The sequence below is a fragment of the Homo sapiens genome, chromosome 15 (genome assembly GCF_000001405.40).
Source record: "Homo sapiens chromosome 15, GRCh38.p14 Primary Assembly".
In the NCBI taxonomy this organism is placed as follows: domain Eukaryota; kingdom Metazoa; phylum Chordata; class Mammalia; order Primates; family Hominidae; genus Homo; species Homo sapiens.
The window spans coordinates 35239706-35259723 of NC_000015.10; the positions used below are offsets into that span (position 1 = coordinate 35239706).

General features: G+C 39.4%; 1 protein-coding gene across 5 annotated transcripts in view, besides 5 other annotated features; it reads right to left on the minus strand.

Moving 5' to 3' along the window:
• Positions 1 to 20018, minus strand: part of DPH6 (diphthamine biosynthesis 6) — a 401189-nt gene that overhangs the window by 94729 nt on the left and 286442 nt on the right. The window contains exons 10-11 of one of the 5 annotated variants that reach the window (XR_007064493.1): positions 17681 to 17756; positions 16121 to 17077 (exon numbers count right to left, since the gene is read on the minus strand). The exons of 3 other annotated variants lie outside the window; for them this stretch is intronic. The gene's annotated coding sequence lies outside the window, so the exon portion shown is untranslated. Of the gene's footprint in view, positions 1 to 16120; positions 17757 to 20018 lie in introns of those variants that run through there. One more of the 5 variants, XM_047433264.1, reaches the window with a different exon arrangement.
• Positions 5210 to 5763: an enhancer, noted in NCBI's record as "H3K4me1 hESC enhancer chr15:35537116-35537669 (GRCh37/hg19 assembly coordinates)". NCBI's record gives its function as "activates a minimal SCP1, AML or CMV promoter by ChIP-STARR-seq in naive H9 embryonic stem cells {active_cell/tissue: H9 hESC(naive)}" and the evidence as "EXISTENCE:reporter gene assay evidence [ECO:0000049][PMID:30033119]".
• Positions 12337 to 12836: an enhancer, noted in NCBI's record as "H3K27ac hESC enhancer chr15:35544243-35544742 (GRCh37/hg19 assembly coordinates)". NCBI's record gives its function as "activates a minimal SCP1, AML or CMV promoter by ChIP-STARR-seq in naive H9 embryonic stem cells {active_cell/tissue: H9 hESC(naive)}" and the evidence as "EXISTENCE:reporter gene assay evidence [ECO:0000049][PMID:30033119]".
• Positions 14046 to 14564: an enhancer, noted in NCBI's record as "NANOG-H3K27ac hESC enhancer chr15:35545952-35546470 (GRCh37/hg19 assembly coordinates)". NCBI's record gives its function as "activates a minimal SCP1, AML or CMV promoter by ChIP-STARR-seq in primed H9 embryonic stem cells {active_cell/tissue: H9 hESC(primed)}" and the evidence as "EXISTENCE:reporter gene assay evidence [ECO:0000049][PMID:30033119]".
• Positions 14565 to 15084: an enhancer, noted in NCBI's record as "NANOG-H3K27ac hESC enhancer chr15:35546471-35546990 (GRCh37/hg19 assembly coordinates)". NCBI's record gives its function as "activates a minimal SCP1, AML or CMV promoter by ChIP-STARR-seq in primed H9 embryonic stem cells {active_cell/tissue: H9 hESC(primed)}" and the evidence as "EXISTENCE:reporter gene assay evidence [ECO:0000049][PMID:30033119]".
• Positions 16428 to 17627: an enhancer, noted in NCBI's record as "MED14-independent group 3 enhancer chr15:35548334-35549533 (GRCh37/hg19 assembly coordinates)". NCBI's record gives its function as "activates an origin of replication core promoter dependent on BRD2, BRD4, P300/CBP and CDK7 cofactors, and independent of MED14, by STARR-seq in HCT116 cells {active_cell/tissue: HCT116}" and the evidence as "EXISTENCE:reporter gene assay evidence [ECO:0000049][PMID:35650434]".

Here is a 20018-nt window from a genome sequence, read left to right on the forward strand (position 1 = left end):
CAAGTCCTGCTTTCCTGGGGCAGGGGCAAGTACCCCTCAACCCCTTCTCCTTCACCCTTAGCAGCAAGTCCCGCTTTCCTAGGGGGCAAGAACCCCCCAATCGCTTATTTCCACACCCCAACCTCTTATCTCTGTGCCCCAATCCCTTATTTCTGCACCCTGACCTCTTATCTCTGTGCCCCAATCCCTTATTTCCGCGCCCTAACCTCTTATCTCTGTGCCCCAATCCCTTATTTCCGTGCCCTAACCCCTTCTCTGCTTTTCTGGAGGGCAAGAACCCCCCACCCCTTCTCCGTGTCTCTACTCTTTTCTCTGGGCTTGCCTCCTTCACTATGGGTAAGCTTCCACCTTCCATTCCTCCTTCTTCTCCCTTAGCCTGTGTTCTCAAAAACTTAAAACCTCTTCAACTCACACCTGACCTAAAACCTAAATGCCTTATTTTCTTCTGCAATGCCGCTTGACCCCAATACAAACTCAACAGTAGTTCCAAATAGCCAGAAAACGGCACTTTCAATTTTTCCATCCTACAAGATCTAAATAATTCTTGTCCTAAAATGGGCAAATGGTCTGAGGTGCCTGACGTCCAGGCATTCTTTTACACATCAGTCCCTTCCTAGTCTCTGTGCCCAGTGCAACTCGTCCCAAATCTTCCTTCTTTCCCTCCCTCCTGTCCCCTCAGTCCCAACCCCAAGCATCACTGAGTCTTTCTAATCTTCCTTTTCTACAGACCCATCTGATCTCTCCCCTCCTTGCCAGCCCAAGCTAGGTCCCAATTCTTCCTCAGCCTCCGCTCCTCCACCCTGTAATCTTTTTATCGCCTCCCCTCCTCACACCTGGTCTGGCTTACAGTTTCATTCTGTGACTAGCCCTCCCCCACCTGCCCAGCAATTTACTCTTAAAAAGGTGGCTGGAGCCAAAGGCATAGTCAGGGTTAATGCTCATTTTTCTTTATCCCAAATCAGTTAGCGTTTAGGCTCTTCTTCATCAAATATAAAAACCCAGCCCAGTTCATGGCTCGTTCGGCAGCAGCCCTGAGACGCTTTACAGCCCTAGACCCTAAAAGGTCAAAAGGCCGTCTTATTCTCAATATACATTTTATTACCCAATCTGCTCCCGACATTAAATAAAACTCCAAAAATTAAATTCCGGCCCTCAAACCCCACAACAGGATTTAATTAACCTCGCCTTCAAGGTGTACAATAATAGAAAAAAGTTGCAATTCCTTGCCTCCACTGTGAGACAAACCCCAGCCACATCTCCAGCACACAAGAACTTCCAAACGCCTGAACCGCAGCGGCCAGGTGTTCCTCCAGAACCTCCTCCCACAGGAGCTTGCTACACGTGCCGGAAATCTGACCACCAGGCCAAGGAATGCCCGCAGCCCAGGATTCCTCCTAAGCCGTGTCCCATCTGTGCGGGACCCCACTGGAAATCGCACTGTCCAACTCACCTGGCAGCCACTCCCAGAGCCCCTGGAACTCTGGCCCAAGGCTCTCTGACTGACTCCTTCCCAGATCTTCTCGGCTTAGCAGCTGAAGACTGACACTGCCCGATCGCCTCGGAAGCCCCCTAGACCATCACGGACGCCGAGCTTTGGGTAACTCTCACAGTGGAAGGTTAAGTCCGTCCCGTTCTTAATCAATACGGAGGCTACCCACTCCACATTACCTTCTTTTCAAGGCCTGTTTCCCTTGCCTCCATAACTGTTGTGGGTATTGACAGCCAGGCTTCTAAACCTCTTAAAACTTCCCAACTCTGGTGCCAACTTAGACAACACTCTTTTATGCACTCTTTTTTAGTTATCTCCACCTGCCCAGTTCCCTTATTAGGCCGAGATATTTTAACCAAATTATCTGCTTCCCTGACTATTCCTGGATTATAGCCACATCTCATTGCTGCCCTTCTTCCCAATCCAAAGCCTCCTTTGCGTCCTCCTCTTGTATTCCCCCACCTTAACCCACAAGTATAAGATACCTCTACTCCCTCCTTGTCGACCGATCATGCACCCCTTACCATCTCATTAAAACCTAATCACCCTTACCCCTCTGAATGCCAATATCTCATCCCACAGCATGCTTTGAAAAGATTAAAGCCTGTTATCACTCGCCTGCTACAGCATGGCCTTTTAAAGCCTATAAATTCTCCTTACAATTCCCCCATTTTACCTGTCTTAAAACCAGACAAGCCTTACAAGTTAGTCCAGGATCTATGCCTTATCAACCAAATTGTTTTGCCTATCCACCCCATGGTGCCAAACCCATATACTCTCCTATCCTCAATACCTCCCTCCACAATCCATTATTCTGTTCTGGATCTCAAACGTGCTTTCTTTACTATTCCTTTGCACCCGTCATCCCAGCCTCTCTTCGCTTTCACTTGGACTGACCCTGACACCCATCAGGCTCAGCAAATTACCTGGGCTGTACCGCCGCAAAGCTTCACAGACAGCCCCCATTACTTCAGTCAAGCCCAAATTTCATCCTCATCTGTTACCTATCTTGGCATAATTCTCGTAAAAACACACGTGCTCTCCCTGCTGATCGTGTCCAGCTGATCTCCCAAACCTCAATCCCTTACAAAACAACAACTCCTTTCCTTCCTAGGCATGGTTAGTGCGGTCAGAATTCTTACACAAGAGCCAGGACCGCACCCTATAGCCTTTCTGTCCAAACAACTTGACCTTACTGTTTTAGCCTAGCCCTCATGTCTGCCTGCAGCGGCTGCCGCTGCTTTAATACTTTTAGAGGCCTTTCCTACAAGGTCTGAGAAGGCCACGGCAGTCAGTTCTTCCCTTCTGTCAGACATAATTCCTCAGTTTAGCCTTCCCACCTCTATACAGTCTGATAACAGACCAGCTTTTATTAGTCAAATCAGCCAAGCATTTTTTCAGGCTCTTAGTATTCAGTGACAGACTAATGGTCTATTAAAAACACACCTCACCAAGCTCAGCCACCAACTTAAAAAGGACTGGACAATACTTTTACCACTTTCCCTTCTCAGTAGTCAGACCTGTCCTCAGAATGCTACAAGGTACAGCCCATTTGAGCTCCTGTATAGACGCTCCTTTTTATTAGGCCCCAGTCTCATTCCAGACACCAGACCAACTTCGACTGTGCCCCCAAATAACTTGTCATCCCTACTATCTTCTGTCTAGTCATACTCCTATTCACCGTTCTCAACTACTCATACATGCCCTGCTCTTGTTTACACTGCCGGTTTACACTGTTTTTCCAAGCCGTCACAGCTGATATCTCCTCGTGCTATCCTCAAACTGCCACTCTTAACTCTTGAAGTAAATAAATAATCTTTGCTGGCAGGACTATGCTGAACCTCCGTAGGCACTCTCTAATTAGATGTCCTAGGTCCTCCCAATTCTTAGTCCTTTTATACCTGTTTTTCTCCTTCTCTTATTCCATTTAGTTTTTCAATTCATACAAAACCGTATCCAGGCCATCACCAATAATTCTACATGACAAATGTTTCTTCTAACATCCCCACAATATCACCCCTTACCACAAGATCTCCCTTCAGCTTAATCTCTCCCACTCTAGGTTCCCACGCCGCCCCTAATACCGCTTGAAGCAGCCCTGAGAAACATCGCCCATTCTCTCTCCATACCACCCCCCAAAAATTTTCGCCGCCCCAACACTTCAACACTATTTTGTTTTATTTTTCTTATTAATATAAGAAGGCAGGAATGTCAGGCCTCTGAGCCCAAGCCAAGCCATTGCATCCCCTGTGACTTGCACGTATATGCCCAGATGGCCTGAAGTAACTGAAGAATCACAAAAGAAGTGAAAAGGTCCTGCCCCGCCTTAACTGATGACATTCCACCATTGTGATGTGTTCCTGCCCCACTTTAACTGAGTGATTAACCCTGTGAATTTCCTTCTCCTGGCTCAGAAGCTCCCCTACTGAGCACCTTGTGACCCCTGCCCCTGCCCACCAGAGAACAACCCTCTTTGACTGTAATTTTCCATTACCTTCCCAAATCCTATAAAACGGCCCCACCCTTATCTCCCTTTGCTGACTCTCTTTTCGGACTCAGCCCGCCTGCACCCAGGTGAAATAAACAGCCATGTTGCTCACACAAAGCCTGTTTGGTGGTCTCTTCCCACGGACGCGCATGAAAAATTCCTTTCTATTTTGCATTATAATTATTTATACACAAATTTTATTTGCCTTACCAGTGTATAAGCTACTTCAAGGCAGCAGCTAATGTAGTATCTTGCAAATGACCAATAATCACTGGATGGATGATTCATAAAGCAAATATTTTCAGTAAATATTTGTATGTTTAATGCTCAAGGAAAATGGCAGTATTGGATTTTAATTCAGTATAGTAATAAAAGCTCTGAAGAATAAACATTTTTAGTTTTTAAGCTCCTTGAAGGCAGAAGCTATATACAAATGTCAATTTTTTATGCTCAGGTAAGGGTGGGATGTACCAAAAGATATTTAATTAATGCCTTTGAGTCAATCTAAAATGAGAATAATTCATAACATAATCAGAATTTTTTAAATTCCAAACTAGTTCTTACTATGGCATTTTGCCCCCTTTCCACTTTTTCCTCCCCTCTGGGAACTGGAAGAGTTCCTTGAATGACCTCTTTAAATGCTAGGCTTTCTCTATAGCACGTTAGTATAAAATCTTTTTCTCCTTCTGAAAACTGGAGGGAGCTTCCTGAATGATTGATTGGTGTGGTGTCCCCTGGACACTCTGGTGCAAACACCATGCAACCACTGATTGATGTGCTCGCTCTTTCACGAACACATTCATTTTCTCTTTTCTAACACACAATTTATTCATCCCATGATGCATTTATGCATCCATTATCACTGTCTTTCAATTTTTAAGCAGGTGAAAAGATGAAAAGTTAATGCTTATAAGGTGGTAAGGCAAGCCTATCTTAAGTAAAAGCAGTGATTATCCCATATATCCAGAAGAGTATTTTTTCAAGAGTTTCTTTTACTCTGATTAATTACAATTTTAAAACAACTTTGGATTGTGAAAGAAGAAAACTTAGGATGGGTGAGTGAAGCTAGAGAGAGCTGTGCTGAGTTACACATTATTAATAATACCAGGGCTGAACTGGGGATAAGGAGACAAAATTCTAGGTAAGGGCCTATGAGCCTACGAGCTTGGTAAGTCAATTAAACTTTTTGGAATTTGATTTTCTTATTTGTAAAATGTGGGGATTTAACTAGATGGCTTTGAAGGCTCCTTCCAGCTACAATGTTTTATGATCATGTAACTACCACTGATAGGTAGAAACATCACGAAAGAATCTGACACTCATGAAAAATGTAGACGAAAGTCATTACACTTTTAGGGGGAGGCTATTCATGCTACATATTGTTAGTGTGATTTAAATATGAACCACATGCCCACTCAGGAAAAAAAAATGAACAATTTATACAAGAATCTATCAATCATTCATGATTCTATGAAATCAGAAACAATTCTCTAATACGTATGTAGTTTAGGGGCAAACATTTATAAATATTTCTGGGTCATTGTTCTTGCTTTTTTTTTTTTTTTTTTTTTTTTGAGATGGAGTCTTGCACTCTCGCCCAGGCTGGAGTGCAGTGGTGCCATCTCGGCTCACTGCAAGCTCCGCCTCCCGGGTTCACGCCATTCTCCTGCCTCAGCCTCCCCAGTAGCTGGGACTACAGGCGCCCGCCACCATGCCCGGATAATTTTTTGTATTTTTAGTAGAGATGGGGTTTCACTGTGTTAGCCAGGATGGTCTCGATCTCCTGACCTTGTGATCCACCTGCCTCGGCCTCCCAAAGTGCTGGGATTACAGGCGTGAGCCACCACGCTGGCGGGTCATTGTTTAAATTGCGAGAAAAAGTAGAAATTTAGTTTATATTGGTTAGCTTCAGGGTTTACAAAAGAGGGAAAGCATTATCTAAGACAAGGGAAGGTTGATTTCATTTTCCAAGAAGACTTATTTCCCTCTGACGTATCACTTCAATGAACTGCAGAACAGCTCTCTCAAATCAAACAAATCAACACATTTTAACTTTTCACAAAATTAAGCATTTGAAAATCTCTTAACTCAAGAGCATCCCACAACAAAATAATTTACAGTGTTACCTATAGGACATGAAAATTAGAGAAGAAGGCTTAAGGAATATAATACAGGATGTTCTCAAGCAAATGTTGAGTCTGACAGGTAAGTGTCAGGCCTCTGGGCCCAAGCCTGCACGTATACATCCAGATGGCCTGAAGTAACTGAAGAATGACAAAAGAAGTGAAAATGGCCGGTTCCTGCCTTAACTGATGACATTACCTTGTGAAATTCCTTCTCCTGGCTCAGAAGCTCCCCCACTGAGCACCTTGTGACCCCTGCCCCTGCCAGCCAGAGAACAACCCCTTTGACTGTAATTTTCCTTTACCTACCCAAATCCTATAAAACGGCCCCACCCCTATCTCCCTTTGCTGACTCTCTTTTCGGACTCAGCCCACCTGCACCCAGGTGATTAAAAAGCTTTACTGCTCACACAAAGCGTGTTTGGTGGGCTCTTCACAGGGACGCACGTGAAAGTAAGTTTCATTGGCAAGTTAAACTGGTGAACAGTTATTTCTTCATTCATTCATTCAAATAATACTTGTTGAGCACTTAATTGTCAGACACTGCTTCAAACAATCTTTTGTTAATTTTGTTTTTCCACATATTCTTACGGAGGATGACACATCCAAATGATAATTTGGATATTTAGTTAGTCCCCATCTCCCCATTTCCTTTCCCCATTAGTGTCTCCCTTCAAATAGTATTTTTCTTCAAAGCTCTGCCTGCCTTTTAGTGAGCAATGGGATTAGCGCCAGACTGCAGTAAGCAATTTGTTCATCCTTGGAGAGCACATTTGCACTACCCCATGATACAGGCATTTAAATGATTTTATTCGTTCACCTGTGTTGAACATTAAGGGGGTAAATTTTCAGTCCAGGGATTTGGCTTTAAAACTCCAATTGATGTTAATGAGAATTGGTAATGAGCCCCTTCTTCTTAATTAGTGGCACCATACCTGTGACTGTAGGAGGCATGGCTCAGACGTGGGAAGCTTAACGAGGTGATAACAAGGAGAAAATGTTTAAGCCTGGATTTTGGCCTGGTCCATACTTTACTATGGAAACATACTTTAGGAGCTGATGCTTTAAAGTAATTTATTACCTAGATTTTATGGCTGTGTAGATCTTCCGTAAGAACAATTCATCTTTTCTACAAAAGTACTCTAGTTCCATAGAAAAGGAGCGAGAATATGATCATGTAGTTTTTCTCTCCTTGTTCATGTAGAGCAATTTTTATGTTAAAACAAACTATCTCTTGCTGATTCCATTTGCCTCAATTAAGGAATACCACAGCTGATAAAGCTCATTCCACACCAAGGAGCAAAATTCTTTCTCAAGGTAAATTGAACCTCCTAATATCATTCAGGATATTACAGTGATGATTTAAAGAAATAAGAGTCTGACTTTTATAGCATCTTTCTTTGAATATCATATGATCATTATGGCACATTGGTAAAAACACAAGTTTTGATCTTATATACTCTATCTACTTGAGCTGCTTCTCTTACTGCCACAGCACATGACATAATCCAGGAAGAATAAAATGATCACAGGATAATAAAATTTCACTGTACCTAGCAAAGGACATAAAAGTTGGATTATTGATTTTGTTTGAATGATGTGCTGTAATTTCATATGCCAACAGAGTGGAGCACAAATCCTGGCCTGCCAGCTTTCATTACTGGAACTCACTTTCTTGCTACCAAGTAACCTCAACCAAGTCACAAGATAAATCTAGATTTCTTTACTTACTGAAAGTGAATGTCTTTAGCCCCAGGTAATTAATAGGAACTTCAAGACTAGAGAAGACCTGCTTTCAGTTGGGAGAAGGAGGGGAAACACTTCAATGGAGATGTTTTACTATTTCTTTAGTTTGCAGTTACCCCTATACTCAAAGATAAAGTAACATGCATACAATTTATAAATCTTTATTGTATCTCTTTGCCCCCTTGAAATACTGTTTTTGGTTCTTTCAACTAGTTTCATTGTGCTGATTTTAAAAATAGTGATAATAAATTAAAAACTATGCACCGTCAAAATAAGAAAGAAAAATCAGGTAAAAGGTCAAAGCAACTAGGTTTTGTTGCTAAATACACCATTTTGCTTCTGCTGTCATATATTACAGAGCCAAGCCTGGAACCCTGATTAACTGTCTAACAATTAAATTTTACTGATTTAAAAGGGGGAAATGTGTGGATAACAGTATAAAATCAATGGTAAATAGTGCAAAGGGCATTAACAATGTCAGTTTGTAAGTGATGCAATCTTTATGTACTAAAAAAATTGGAAGTCCATGTGTAACTAACTAAAAGTATACGCTTTTGTTGAGGCTCAGAAAATGACACTCTAAAGTGAAAGCCTCAGAAGCAGCCTAAGAAGTGGTTTCTGTCCTTCTCTTGCCCTCCTGTCTCTTACCTCTCATTCTCCCCTGAGGCAAGCCATGGAAACTAGAATCCCTTTTCTCCAAGCTGGGTCATGGAAACCAGAACCCCTTTTCTCAAAGCCATCCATAAACCTAAAATTACTACTCTAACTTTCCCCCACCTTTCTAAGAACTGGCCGTAAAGCAATTATTTGACCACTTTGTTTGATTGTAGGTTATAAGATCTCCATTCCAGTGTGGGTCCTGCCCCATACTCAGAAGGAATGCATGCTCAGAGAGGACAAGAAGAATCTGAACACACAGGCCTTGCTGGGTCCCATTCTCCACAACCTCAGTCTATTACTATTAGATCGTACCATTTTTGTCCAATCACATCTCTACACGCTCTTCTTGCTTCATCAGATCTAAAGCACCCATGCATAAAATCAGACTGCTTTCCCTCTATCTATGGGTCACTCAATCTGAAGGCTCCCATGTCATGTAAAACTTTGATTAAATAAATGTTATGCTTTTGTCAGTCTGTCTTTATTGTAGGGGTGTCAGCCATGACCTTTATGACGGAGAGGACAGGTATCACCATCTCTCTGTCCCCACACTATAACAAACTTGACAAACAATCTGACATATTTAAATGGTAAGAGTTTTATAAAATAAATAATATATGCCAATGAGATTAGAATTTTACCCAATCTAGAGGAGCTATGGAAATCATTCCCAGTAATGGTTATATAATTAAAGGGCAAGTAATAATTAAAGTTTCATGCATTACAGTTTTTCTTGCTTGCTATAATAACATCTCTAATAAAAATATGTTTAAAGTATCAGCATAACAATGAATAAACATGGAGAGATTGCAGGACTAGAGGAAACCGCAGAATTATATTACAGATTTCCAGACCTTCGGAATGTTTTATAATTACCTGAAGAAAAAGTAGTCCATACAAAGACAAATGTTAATATAGCGGCTGGACACATTAGGAAAGCATTCCCTTTACTGAACAACAAGATGGCTACATACTTTCAGGGATGAAAGTTCCTGACATGGCCCTGGAGAAAGCATCCTCTTGTGAACCTCCTCTATTCCTGTAGATAAAATTTCTCTAACACCTGAAGAAATCCTGTCATATACCAGAAAAACAGGAAAGGCTTGAGATTAGACAAAAATATTTAGATTGAAAAAGCTACATATTTAAATAAAAACAAGTTTGGGATGCAGAGAATATGGTTACATTTTCTTTTCAAAGCATAAAGTCCTTTTCTAAAAATAAAAAGAAATATTACAGATATTTAAGGAGATAGATGGTATAAATCTATGTTCCTGGGGGTAACACAGGCATGAATATATTATTCTATGTCGAATTCTTTATGGTGGAATGAATGATTATTACAACTTTTAAGACCTTCCACAGTCTTTATATTGAGAGACAAGGATGTCTCTCTGCAGGTGAGATTTATAATCTGGGTATTGCTTAAACAGAGTAGATAGTAGAAAATAATATGCCACTCCAATTTTGGAGTCGAAGAACTTTAAAAATAGCATATTAGTTCTGAATTTGAAGCTGATAATGTCTTTTTTGTTATTACTTAAGTTTGTGTGATATGTTAGAGAATGGAAAACTGGCAGAACATAAAGGTAAATTAAAATACTTATAAGCACAGCATAAAGTAGCAGGAAGAACAGTTAACCAACTTCTGATAAAATTATATAAAATACGGCCGGGCGCGGTGGCTCACGCCTGTAATCCCAGCACTTTGGGAGGCCGAGGCAGGCGGATCACGAGGTCAGGAGATCGAAACCATCCTGGCTAACACGGCGAAACACCATCTCTACTAAAAATATAAAAAAAAATTAGCCGGGCGTGGTGGGCTACAGGGTGGTGGGCACCTGTAGTCTCAGCTACTCAGGAGGCTGAGGCAGGAGAATGGAGTGAACCCGGGAGGCAGAGCTTGCAGTGAGCCGAGATCGCGCCACTGCACTCCAGCCTGGGTGACACAGCGAGATTCTGTCTCAAAAAAACCAAAAAAACAAAAAACAAAAAACAAAAAAATAAAAAAAATAAAATTATATAAGATATACCCTAATGGCTTAACATTTCCAGGTGACTAGAGCTTCCTGTGTCTTCAAAGAGAAGGCCATGACAATAAGGAGTCCCACAACAGAGAAGAGAGGCTGATATTTAAAAGATGATTTAAAATGTCCCTGCCACAACGTGTGGCACTGTATAAGTCAGAGAAACTGGCATTTAATAAACATCAAACCAAGAGTTTGGGTTTATTTTTCCATTAATATTCATGTAACATGGCAGTTCAAATATATGTTGCAGGCCAATACAGCTCAAGATTTTGAAGATAAAGGAAACATGCAAAAGGTTCTTACATGATATTTTATAACTAATATTGCTGAATATTTTGAATTTCTATTATCAGAATAAAATCAGAGAAATGTTTTTTTCAAGTATTATATACCCAAACCATTAATTAAGTACCTACTATGCATCCATTCTGGGTGGATCTGAAAATATGAAGACAAACAAGATCTAGGACTAAAAAGTTCAAAATGGGAAAGGAGAAAAGGAGAAGGAAGACATATAAAATAATAAATATAATAAGAATATTAGAAGTGCTTTAGCAGAGCCACGTATAAAGCTTTGTGAGTAGGCAGAAAGGAAGCAAATTTTCACTATCATTCTAACACTGTATATGGCATTTACATTTATTTTTTAAATGTATATTCCCATATACTTCCAATAAGTTACTTACTGAGTTAGTCACTTTTGATTTGTGTTACCAATAGTTTTCATAAGTCGTGCCAAGCAATCTACACATATGTTCAATTAGTCTCCCTTGAGAAGAAGGTCATTGTTATAAAACTGCTGGCAGGCTGTAGACACATGGATCAGTTTCTTTTTGAAAAATGCAGTGTCTCTATTTATAAAACTAAGTTGAATACTGTTTATACAATCTCCCAAACTTGACATGCCAGTCCTGTCCTTGGTTTCTCCATTTTTCTTTCTTTCTTTCTTAAAATTTTTAAGTAATTTCAATTTTTATTTTAGATTCAGGGGATACAAGTGCAGGTTTGTTACACGAGTATATTTTCTGTTACCCCTCCTGCAACTAACTGGCTATGGATTCTCATCAATTCTACATCAGAAATGTCTCTTAATATATGCCCGCTCCATTCCCAATGCCACTGCCTCAGTTCATAATCCCACTGTTTTCCTGCTTCCTTTTCTCTCATTTCTCCAACCCCAGCTGTCAAGCTTTTTTCCTAAAAAACAGGGCTGATCATGTCATTCTCATGCACAACAATTCTCTGCTCGCTTTGTGGTCTACAGGATAAAACTCAAACTTCAGAGCTTGGACATAAGGTCCTTCACACTTTGGCTCCAATCCACCACACCTGTGTACCACATCCCCTTGCCACATCCAAGATCCTACACTTAGCTTCATATCACAGATACGCTAGTCTCTCACCACTTTGCTTTGTAACTTATTAGCTGACATGTCTGCTTCCCCTCTTATGTCCTGTTGTATTGACTCATAAAATCTCAAACTCTAACCTAATGCCTTGCGTACAGTTTACCACACTGTACATTCAGTAAACGCAAAGTGAATGAAACAACAGCACTGGCCTCGCTCATTCAATGATAACAACACTAACCATGTTACTATGCATAAATAATAACAGGTCGGTGTGGTGGCTCATGCCTGTAATCCCAGTACTTTGGGAGGCTGTGGCAGGTTTATCACCTGAGGTCAGGGGTTCAAGACCAGCCTGGCCAACATGGTGAAACCCCATCTCTACTAAAAATATAAAAATTAGCTAGGCGTGGTAGTGGGGGGCCTGTAATCCCAGCTACTGGAGAGGCTAAGGCAGGAGGTAGAGGTTGCAGTGAGCCAAGCTCACGCCATTGCACTCCAGCCTGGGCAACAAGAGCCAGAGTCCATCTCAAAATCAATCAATCAATCAACCAATAATAACAATAGCAAATACTTCCGTAATACAATATGATAGACATGATTTAAGTGCTTTACCTATATCAGCCTGTTTAAGCCTCATGTCAATAGGTACTATTATTACACCCACTTATAGATGAAAAAATTGAAGCACAGAGAAATCCCCTAAATTTCCATGAAAGATAGTAGCTGGTTTTAAGAGAAACAAGCCTATAAACAAAAAAAGAAAGAAACAAAGATTTTGTGTTCAAATTAGTTTTGGAAATCCTGGGTTGAGCAGAGCTAAACAAGTTTCATTACTGCAGGACTTTCTCAGAGTCATTAAACAAGCATTGTGACAATGTGAACTGCCATTAAGGGCACATTTGCCCTGATTCTCTAGCTACAGAGGATTTTGGTGGCCAAGCATCTTGTGGGACTAGTGATCTGTGAAACATACCTTGAGAAGCACTGCTGGAGGGTTATATAACGTGACACAGTAAAACCTGTTATCAATTAATGCTTGTGTGCCTCCTTCTTTTCCTCTCCTCTCCCCATCCGGAAATAGGTCATAAGGTCTATGGTCTTGCCTAAGGGCAGACAGCGAACAAATAAACTGTCTAAGACAGTAGTTAATTTTCTTTCTCTTGTCTCTCCTCCTGATTTATAGATATTTTGGTTACACATTAAAAATACATACTCTATAATTTTTTACTGGTATTAAGTATAGTTCTTAAACTGTAATATAAAGGTTTTGATGTTATAGTTAGAAAACTTCAGCAACTTTCTTTATCCAGTTGAGAAATATACATTAGAGTTGTATCAACCTTCAAATGAGCTTCTATGTGTTTTTAAGGACAGCAAGCAGGATGTGAACAGGGTTAGTAATAAATAGACTTGGGTCTGCACCAACTATCTCTGACGTCTCACTATTTGCCTCAGTTTCTTTATCTGCATATTGAAGGCATCTGAATGTTAATCTCTGAAGTACCATCTAATTTTAAAATTCAAAAACATGCAAATTGCTCTTCCAGATTCATTGAAGCATAGAACAGAAAAATATTAATTAAATATCTAAACTACATTGGTGAGATTTTTTCCCCATTATTATAAAGAAACTTCTGCCAATGAAATTAAATATAAACAGTAGGTTGTGGAAAGCATCATCAAGTGAAGTGAAGAATGCAGGGAAGGAATAAAATTTTTACTGCTTCCTTGGTATAGACCATTTTTTTCGGCTAAAGCAATGGCAGATTCTTATATTCTGGTGCACAGGAACTATATGAATAAAACATGCCTGTGCAAATGAACTCACAACCTTATTCCAAAGCACCATTCGGGAATAATACATTTAATGTCTCATCAACTTCCCCAGAAAAGTGAGAGTAAACCTGTGCATACAGACAAAACAACCATAACAAAAACCAAGGTAGAAATAATTCTGCTATGGGGAACAGATTTGATCGACATTTGATGGTTTCAAAACTCTAAGTAATACGCTAGTCACTTAAAAATATTCCCACATTTCTGCTTTCTCCCATCACTCTATGCCTTAAGATTCATCTGTCAATTTTGACGCATCTTTTTAAGTACCCCTTCAAGCCTAAAAATCCAGACCACAGAAAAGCCCTCTTTGCTTTGAAACTATCTGATCAATCCATAGATCATTTACCTGCAAGGATTATTTGGTGAAGCTAAAGCGGCACATCAACCAGCAGCATCTGAGGGCTGAGGCGGCAGAACGTCAACAACAAATTGTCATTGGCATTCCATTTATGAACCTTCAAACGGCATCAGATCTTTTCCATGGGAAACCAGATCAGGTCAGACTAGAGCTGAATATTTCTTAACAAGCTAACCATCAAAAGAATTTACGTTTTGAATAAAAAGGCTATCATTTGTTGATTTGAATATCAAAGGGATCCACTGCAAACTCCCAGTCTAGAAAAACCTCCCTAAGCTACACTAGACAGGTGTTTAATAATCTATTATTAAGGCACTATTTTAGGTTACTCAGAATTATAAAAAATAGCTGTAACTGTGAAGCTGCAAATGGGACTGCACAAAGAAACGAATGCTATTAACATACTATTAACAATTCAAAAGAATGAGTTGACATACCAATCAAACTTGTTAATTGACTGTCAATGGCCTGTCCCTGAATATACAACATGACTGCATTATAGATTTCAAATGCTGACAGGAAGACAGTTCCATTTGCATTAACTTCATAAACTGATCAACAACCAAACTGCCACATACATTTATAATGGGAAGCTGAATCATTTCAATATTCATGGAGCTCTGTAATTGTAAATTAGGTACTGGCAAACAATACAATACTGTACATACTCTAAAATATCTGAAATTTCATTGACCTACTTTCATTCTGGTTTTAAAATACAAAAAAAAGTTTCATCTTGAAGTGATCATTACTTTAATTTGTGGTTTGTACCTTAAGCAAAATGTGTTTGCAACTCAATTTGCAGCTGTGGTTTACAGTTGCACTTTGGAAGCATCACTGGTCCAGAAAATATGAGGTAAAAAAGGTAGTGCTTGGTTTCATGCGCGTCCGTGTGAAGAGACCACCAAACAGGCTTCGTGTGAGCAATAAAGCTGTTTATTTCACCTGGGTGCAGGTGGGCTGAGTCCGAAAAGAGAGTCAGCGAAGGGAGATAGGGGTGGGGCCGTTTTATAGGATTTGGGAAGGTAATGGAAAATTACAGTCAAAGGGGGTTGTTCTCTGGTGGGCAGGGGTGGATCTCACAAAGTACATTCTCAAGGGTGGGGAGAATTACAAAGAACCTTCTTAAGGGTGGGGGAGACTACAAAGTACATTGATCAGTTAGGGTGGGGCAGGAACAAATCACAATGGTGGAATGTCATCAGTTAAGGCTGTTTTTACTTCTTTTGTGGATCTTCAGTTACTTTAGGCCATCTGGATGTATACGTGCAAGCCACAGGGGATGCGATGGCCTGGGCTCAGAGGCCTGACACTTGGTAAAAGGTAAAAAAGTGAGCTTGCCTTACTTGGGGTTTTTGAAAACGGAGAACTATGAAACAAGGCAGTATCACACTTCCTCAGGTGACAGCCGAAGAACCATTATGACGACATATTTAGCAAATAATCATTAACATAATGAAAAGAAGGTTATAAAGTAATCCTGCACTGGAGCCTTCTTAAATCCCCTCAAATAGACCTGCTGTTCTGAAATTAGACTTTAAAATCTTCAACCATCCATTGGTTTGAGAATCAATAGAGTAAAAGAGAAGATAAATGAGGGCTGAAGACTATTTCTAACCAAAGTCTCATGATAAATGGTCTAAAATTCAATAGTTATCAGCATGGAGATATTCCTTTCAAATAGTTCTATGACTTCTTCAAGAATGAACACAGAGGGTTTTTTTTTCTTCAAAAAGCTGTTTCCCCCCTGAGATAAATGTTACTTTAGTTTCAGATGTTTTTCTTTGATCATTAGCTAGGTATCACCCCTCCAGCCACTAGAAGTTGCTCAAACTTTGTGGATTAATTCTGGAATATTCTAACGTGTTGCCACAATTTTGGATGCACCAGTTTACTCATAGAGCCTTTAGTAAAGGTCGTCTTGAAATTTTTTTTGACTTTGCAAATGACTGCACACTGTTAAATAACAAAATGAGTTTATTAGTTGGAGGGGAGCAGTTACTCCTAAATAATGAATATGATCCTTAGAAGATTATTCATTCTATCCATTAGGATTAGTTTTATTTTCATCTTTGTCCAACTAAGCAGTGATATATACTCCATAATGGTGAATAACACACACATCATATGTGCACACATATACATGATTTATGCATATATAAAATTGACTTATAAATAAATATACAGTATATAATATACATATTTGTTTGAATATATATACACACCTATATAACATATATAAATCTTTAATAAACTTACAGATTTACAGAAAATTTGCAAGGATAGTACAAAGTTCCTGTATAACCTGAATCCAGTTTCTCTAATTGTTAACATCTTATATTACCATGGTATACTTGTCATAACTAATAAGGCAATATTTACAAATTTTATTATTATCTAAAGCACATATTTAATTCAGATTTCCTTCATTTTTACTTAATGCTCTTTTTCTGTTGCACGATCCTGGCCAGTTACCATATTATTTATAGTCATATCTCCTTAGGCTCCTTTGACGGTGACTGTTTCTGAGTTTCCTGGTTTTGATGACCTTGACAGTTTTGTAGTACTAGTCAGATACTTTTCTAGATTGTTCTTTGATTTGGGTTTTCTAATGTTTTTCTCATGGTTAAACCACAGTTATGGATTTTTGGAAGGAAGACCACAAAGTGCCATCCACATAAGTGATATATTTTTATCTTTGAATGTTCTCAATGTATTCAATGTACTAAAATATAATTTTTTTTCTTTTTAGAAATAAAGGGCAAGTTATGTAAATCATCAGCAACAATCTGCAAAAGAGGCTGTGTGTATATAATGGAAAGTACTTCATTGCTAATTAGTAGTGTAGTAGATGTCAAGATCTGTGTTCACTCTGGGATTTAGCCATGTCTGGGCATGTCTGCAGGACTGTAGGGTGGGTCCACGAGGGATCCATTTACAAGAGATGAGGTCAAGAGCCAGGAGGTGGAAATGGAAGAACATACATCCTGACCTAAAGGGAAAGAGAGATGTTTACTAGTTTAGTTCGGGGTCAATGAGCAAGCATATCTGGTATGTGTGTAAGTGTGTGTGTAGGAGGAATACTGGGGTTTGTAATGGTTTTGACTTTATCATTTCTGAATTTTAGTGCAAGAAATATGCAAAGAGAACATAAAGAAGACTAAAAAGAGTCTGTTGGTAAACATTAGATGCATTGATGACAGCTATTTGAGGACTGATAAGAATGGGGGTGATTTGATAGTGACAGGGGAGTGCTGGTGACTGGGGAAAAGAATGGCATCATTAGCATAAAATATAGTGCCATCAATACTGGGCATTATAAGTGTCAGTAGTGACATGGGCAGGCATCACCATGAAAAGATGACATTAGCATAGCATACCAGGAAAGGAGGAGAAAAATAATAAATAGGTAAGGGTACTAGTTTTTTGTGTTTATGTAAGTCACTTCTTAGGAACATGTAACATCTCTGGGAAAAATTTATGGGGCTGGAGTGTTCTCAGGGAGGGTAAAAAGTCTAGTTAGAGAAATACCACATCTGGCAGTTGCTTACCTATAGGCTTGAACACAGGTTAGAGACAAAAGGAAGTCACTTACATTCTCTGAGTTTCCATACTCATGAATGAGAGATCCGCACTTCTTCAAAAGGTTGTTGATTGGAGTGACAGCAATGCTAATCAAAAAGTATAAAAATAAAAAATAATAATATGTTGTTGAGGGATTTGGTAGAGGTGGTAGTGACTTGGAAAGTATAACAACCTCTTAAGTAGACTTGAAGGGTTACATGTAACTCAGATTCGAGAAATGGGGATTTTTTGTGGAGGTACAAAGTGCACTGTAGGAGATAAAATCTTAGAAATGCCTCATGAGTACTGGAACTACAGTCTTATTCTGGATTGAAGGCAATTAAAAGAAACTCAGCAGCAGTTGTTCAAGAATTCCATGCTAGCACTCAAAACAGTATTATTTTCTTGGTCTCAGCTTTGTGTGTGTGTGTGTGTGTGTGTGCATTTTCTTACTTCTTTTATCATTACAATGCATAGTAAGTAATTAGCAGGAAAACTTTACCTTGATTGAGTGGTGGTACTCTTAAACAATTTGAATAGTATTATCCTTAGAACATAAATGTAAGCAATAAAGGGAACGTTATCAAGCGGCTACTTAATCCACCATTCCATAGAACTTCTCAACCTGTTTGAGTCTGGTTTCTCACAGACTTTAGCTTTCCTGTAGAACATCATGGTCCTTCTTATTTTATGATATCTTCTATCCATTCTTTTTACCATAGCAGCCCAATACTGGACCAACCCTTATATTTTTGGGCAAGGTGTTATTCTTGTTTTTAATTTGTGCCAAGACACTTGATAAAGCCATTGAATTATTAATGAAAAGATTGTCTTTTTGCCTTACTCGGGCAAAAGACCACTAATGGTGTGAGAGGTAGGATTGGGGTCATATTACAGCACAAGGAATAGCCTAGAACTGTTTTCACTAAAAGGAGAAGGATGGGACAGTTTCTCTTGGAAGAGAAAAAATGAACATGCAAGCCTCTAGGATAGTCAAAAGTAATGTAAGACATTAAAGGAGGACACTTTCACTGTGACATTAGTTGGCTTACAAATTCTAAACCAATGCTTTAAAATTTGCTCCTCAGAAAATCATACAATTTTAGAGTTGGAAAGGATATTAGAAATAATCTCATCTAAATATTTCATAAGTGAGGGAACTAAAGTCTGGGTTAAATACTAGCTACAGGTTAGAAAGCTCTTTAGTAACAGAGCTAGGCTTAGAGCTTAATGTCCTTTGTTCTATAAGCTGTCTCAGCAAGCTTAGGGATGAGTTAAGGTAGCAATAAACCTTTATCAAAATAGAAACTCTATTTTCTTTGAAACATGCTCACTTTTTTTGGGCCAATACTTGAACATTTATCCTTTATAAAGTTTCCTAAGGACTCCATTGTTTTCACTAGTTGGAAACATGCTTTCTTTCATTTCCTCAATCCTTTCTCCCTCCCTTATATATTTACTTTACTGCCCCTAGAACTCCATATGCATCTTCTCCTTAAGATTCCTACTATGGGCCGGGCACGGTGGCTCACACCTGTAACCCCAGCACTTTGGGCGGCCAAGATGGGCAGATCATGAGGCCAGGAGTTCAAGACCAGCCTGGCCAACATGGTGAAACTGCATCTCTACTTAAAATACAAAAATTAGCTGTGCGTGGTGGTGTGCACCTGTAATCCCGCTACTGGGGAGGCTGAGGCAGAGAATCGCTTGAACCCAGGAGGTGGAGGTTGCAGTGGGCCGAGATCGCACCACTACACTCCAGCCTGGGGGACACAGCAAGACTCCGTCTCAAAAAAAAAAAAAAAAAGATTCCTACTAGGTGATCATCCCTTCCTTGCTTTCCCTTCTCGAATTCTGTAAGGGGTGTTCTAATCATATATCTGGAAAGGCAAGCATAAGCCAATACTCCTTACCACACTTTTCTTGAAACCTTGTGGGGTAACTTAAAGAAGAGAAGAAATGGCTTAATTATGAATTATTCAAAGTGGAGATTTTGCTACAAGTATGACTATGCATGTACACTATACTTCCTCCTGGGAGCAGCTGCTTTCACGCAAACCTAATCATATAAAAAAGTATGCATTCCTGTAATTACTAACAGTATTTATTGCAAGTAATATAAAATAGATAATAAGATTTCAATTATAAAGCACAGCTTCACAGCATTAGCTCTAGAACATGTTCTACATTTCGTTTTTATATTTGAAATAGTGACGACACTGAAAATTTCAAACAAGTTAACTGAGATATAGAAATATGTGATGTCACAATGTTTACTACACAGAATGCAGTCAAGGACCTGGAAGTAAGCTCCTCCCCACCTTCCTCTCCAAAATAAAGCTACTGAGCAGCCAATATAAGTCCTAAAA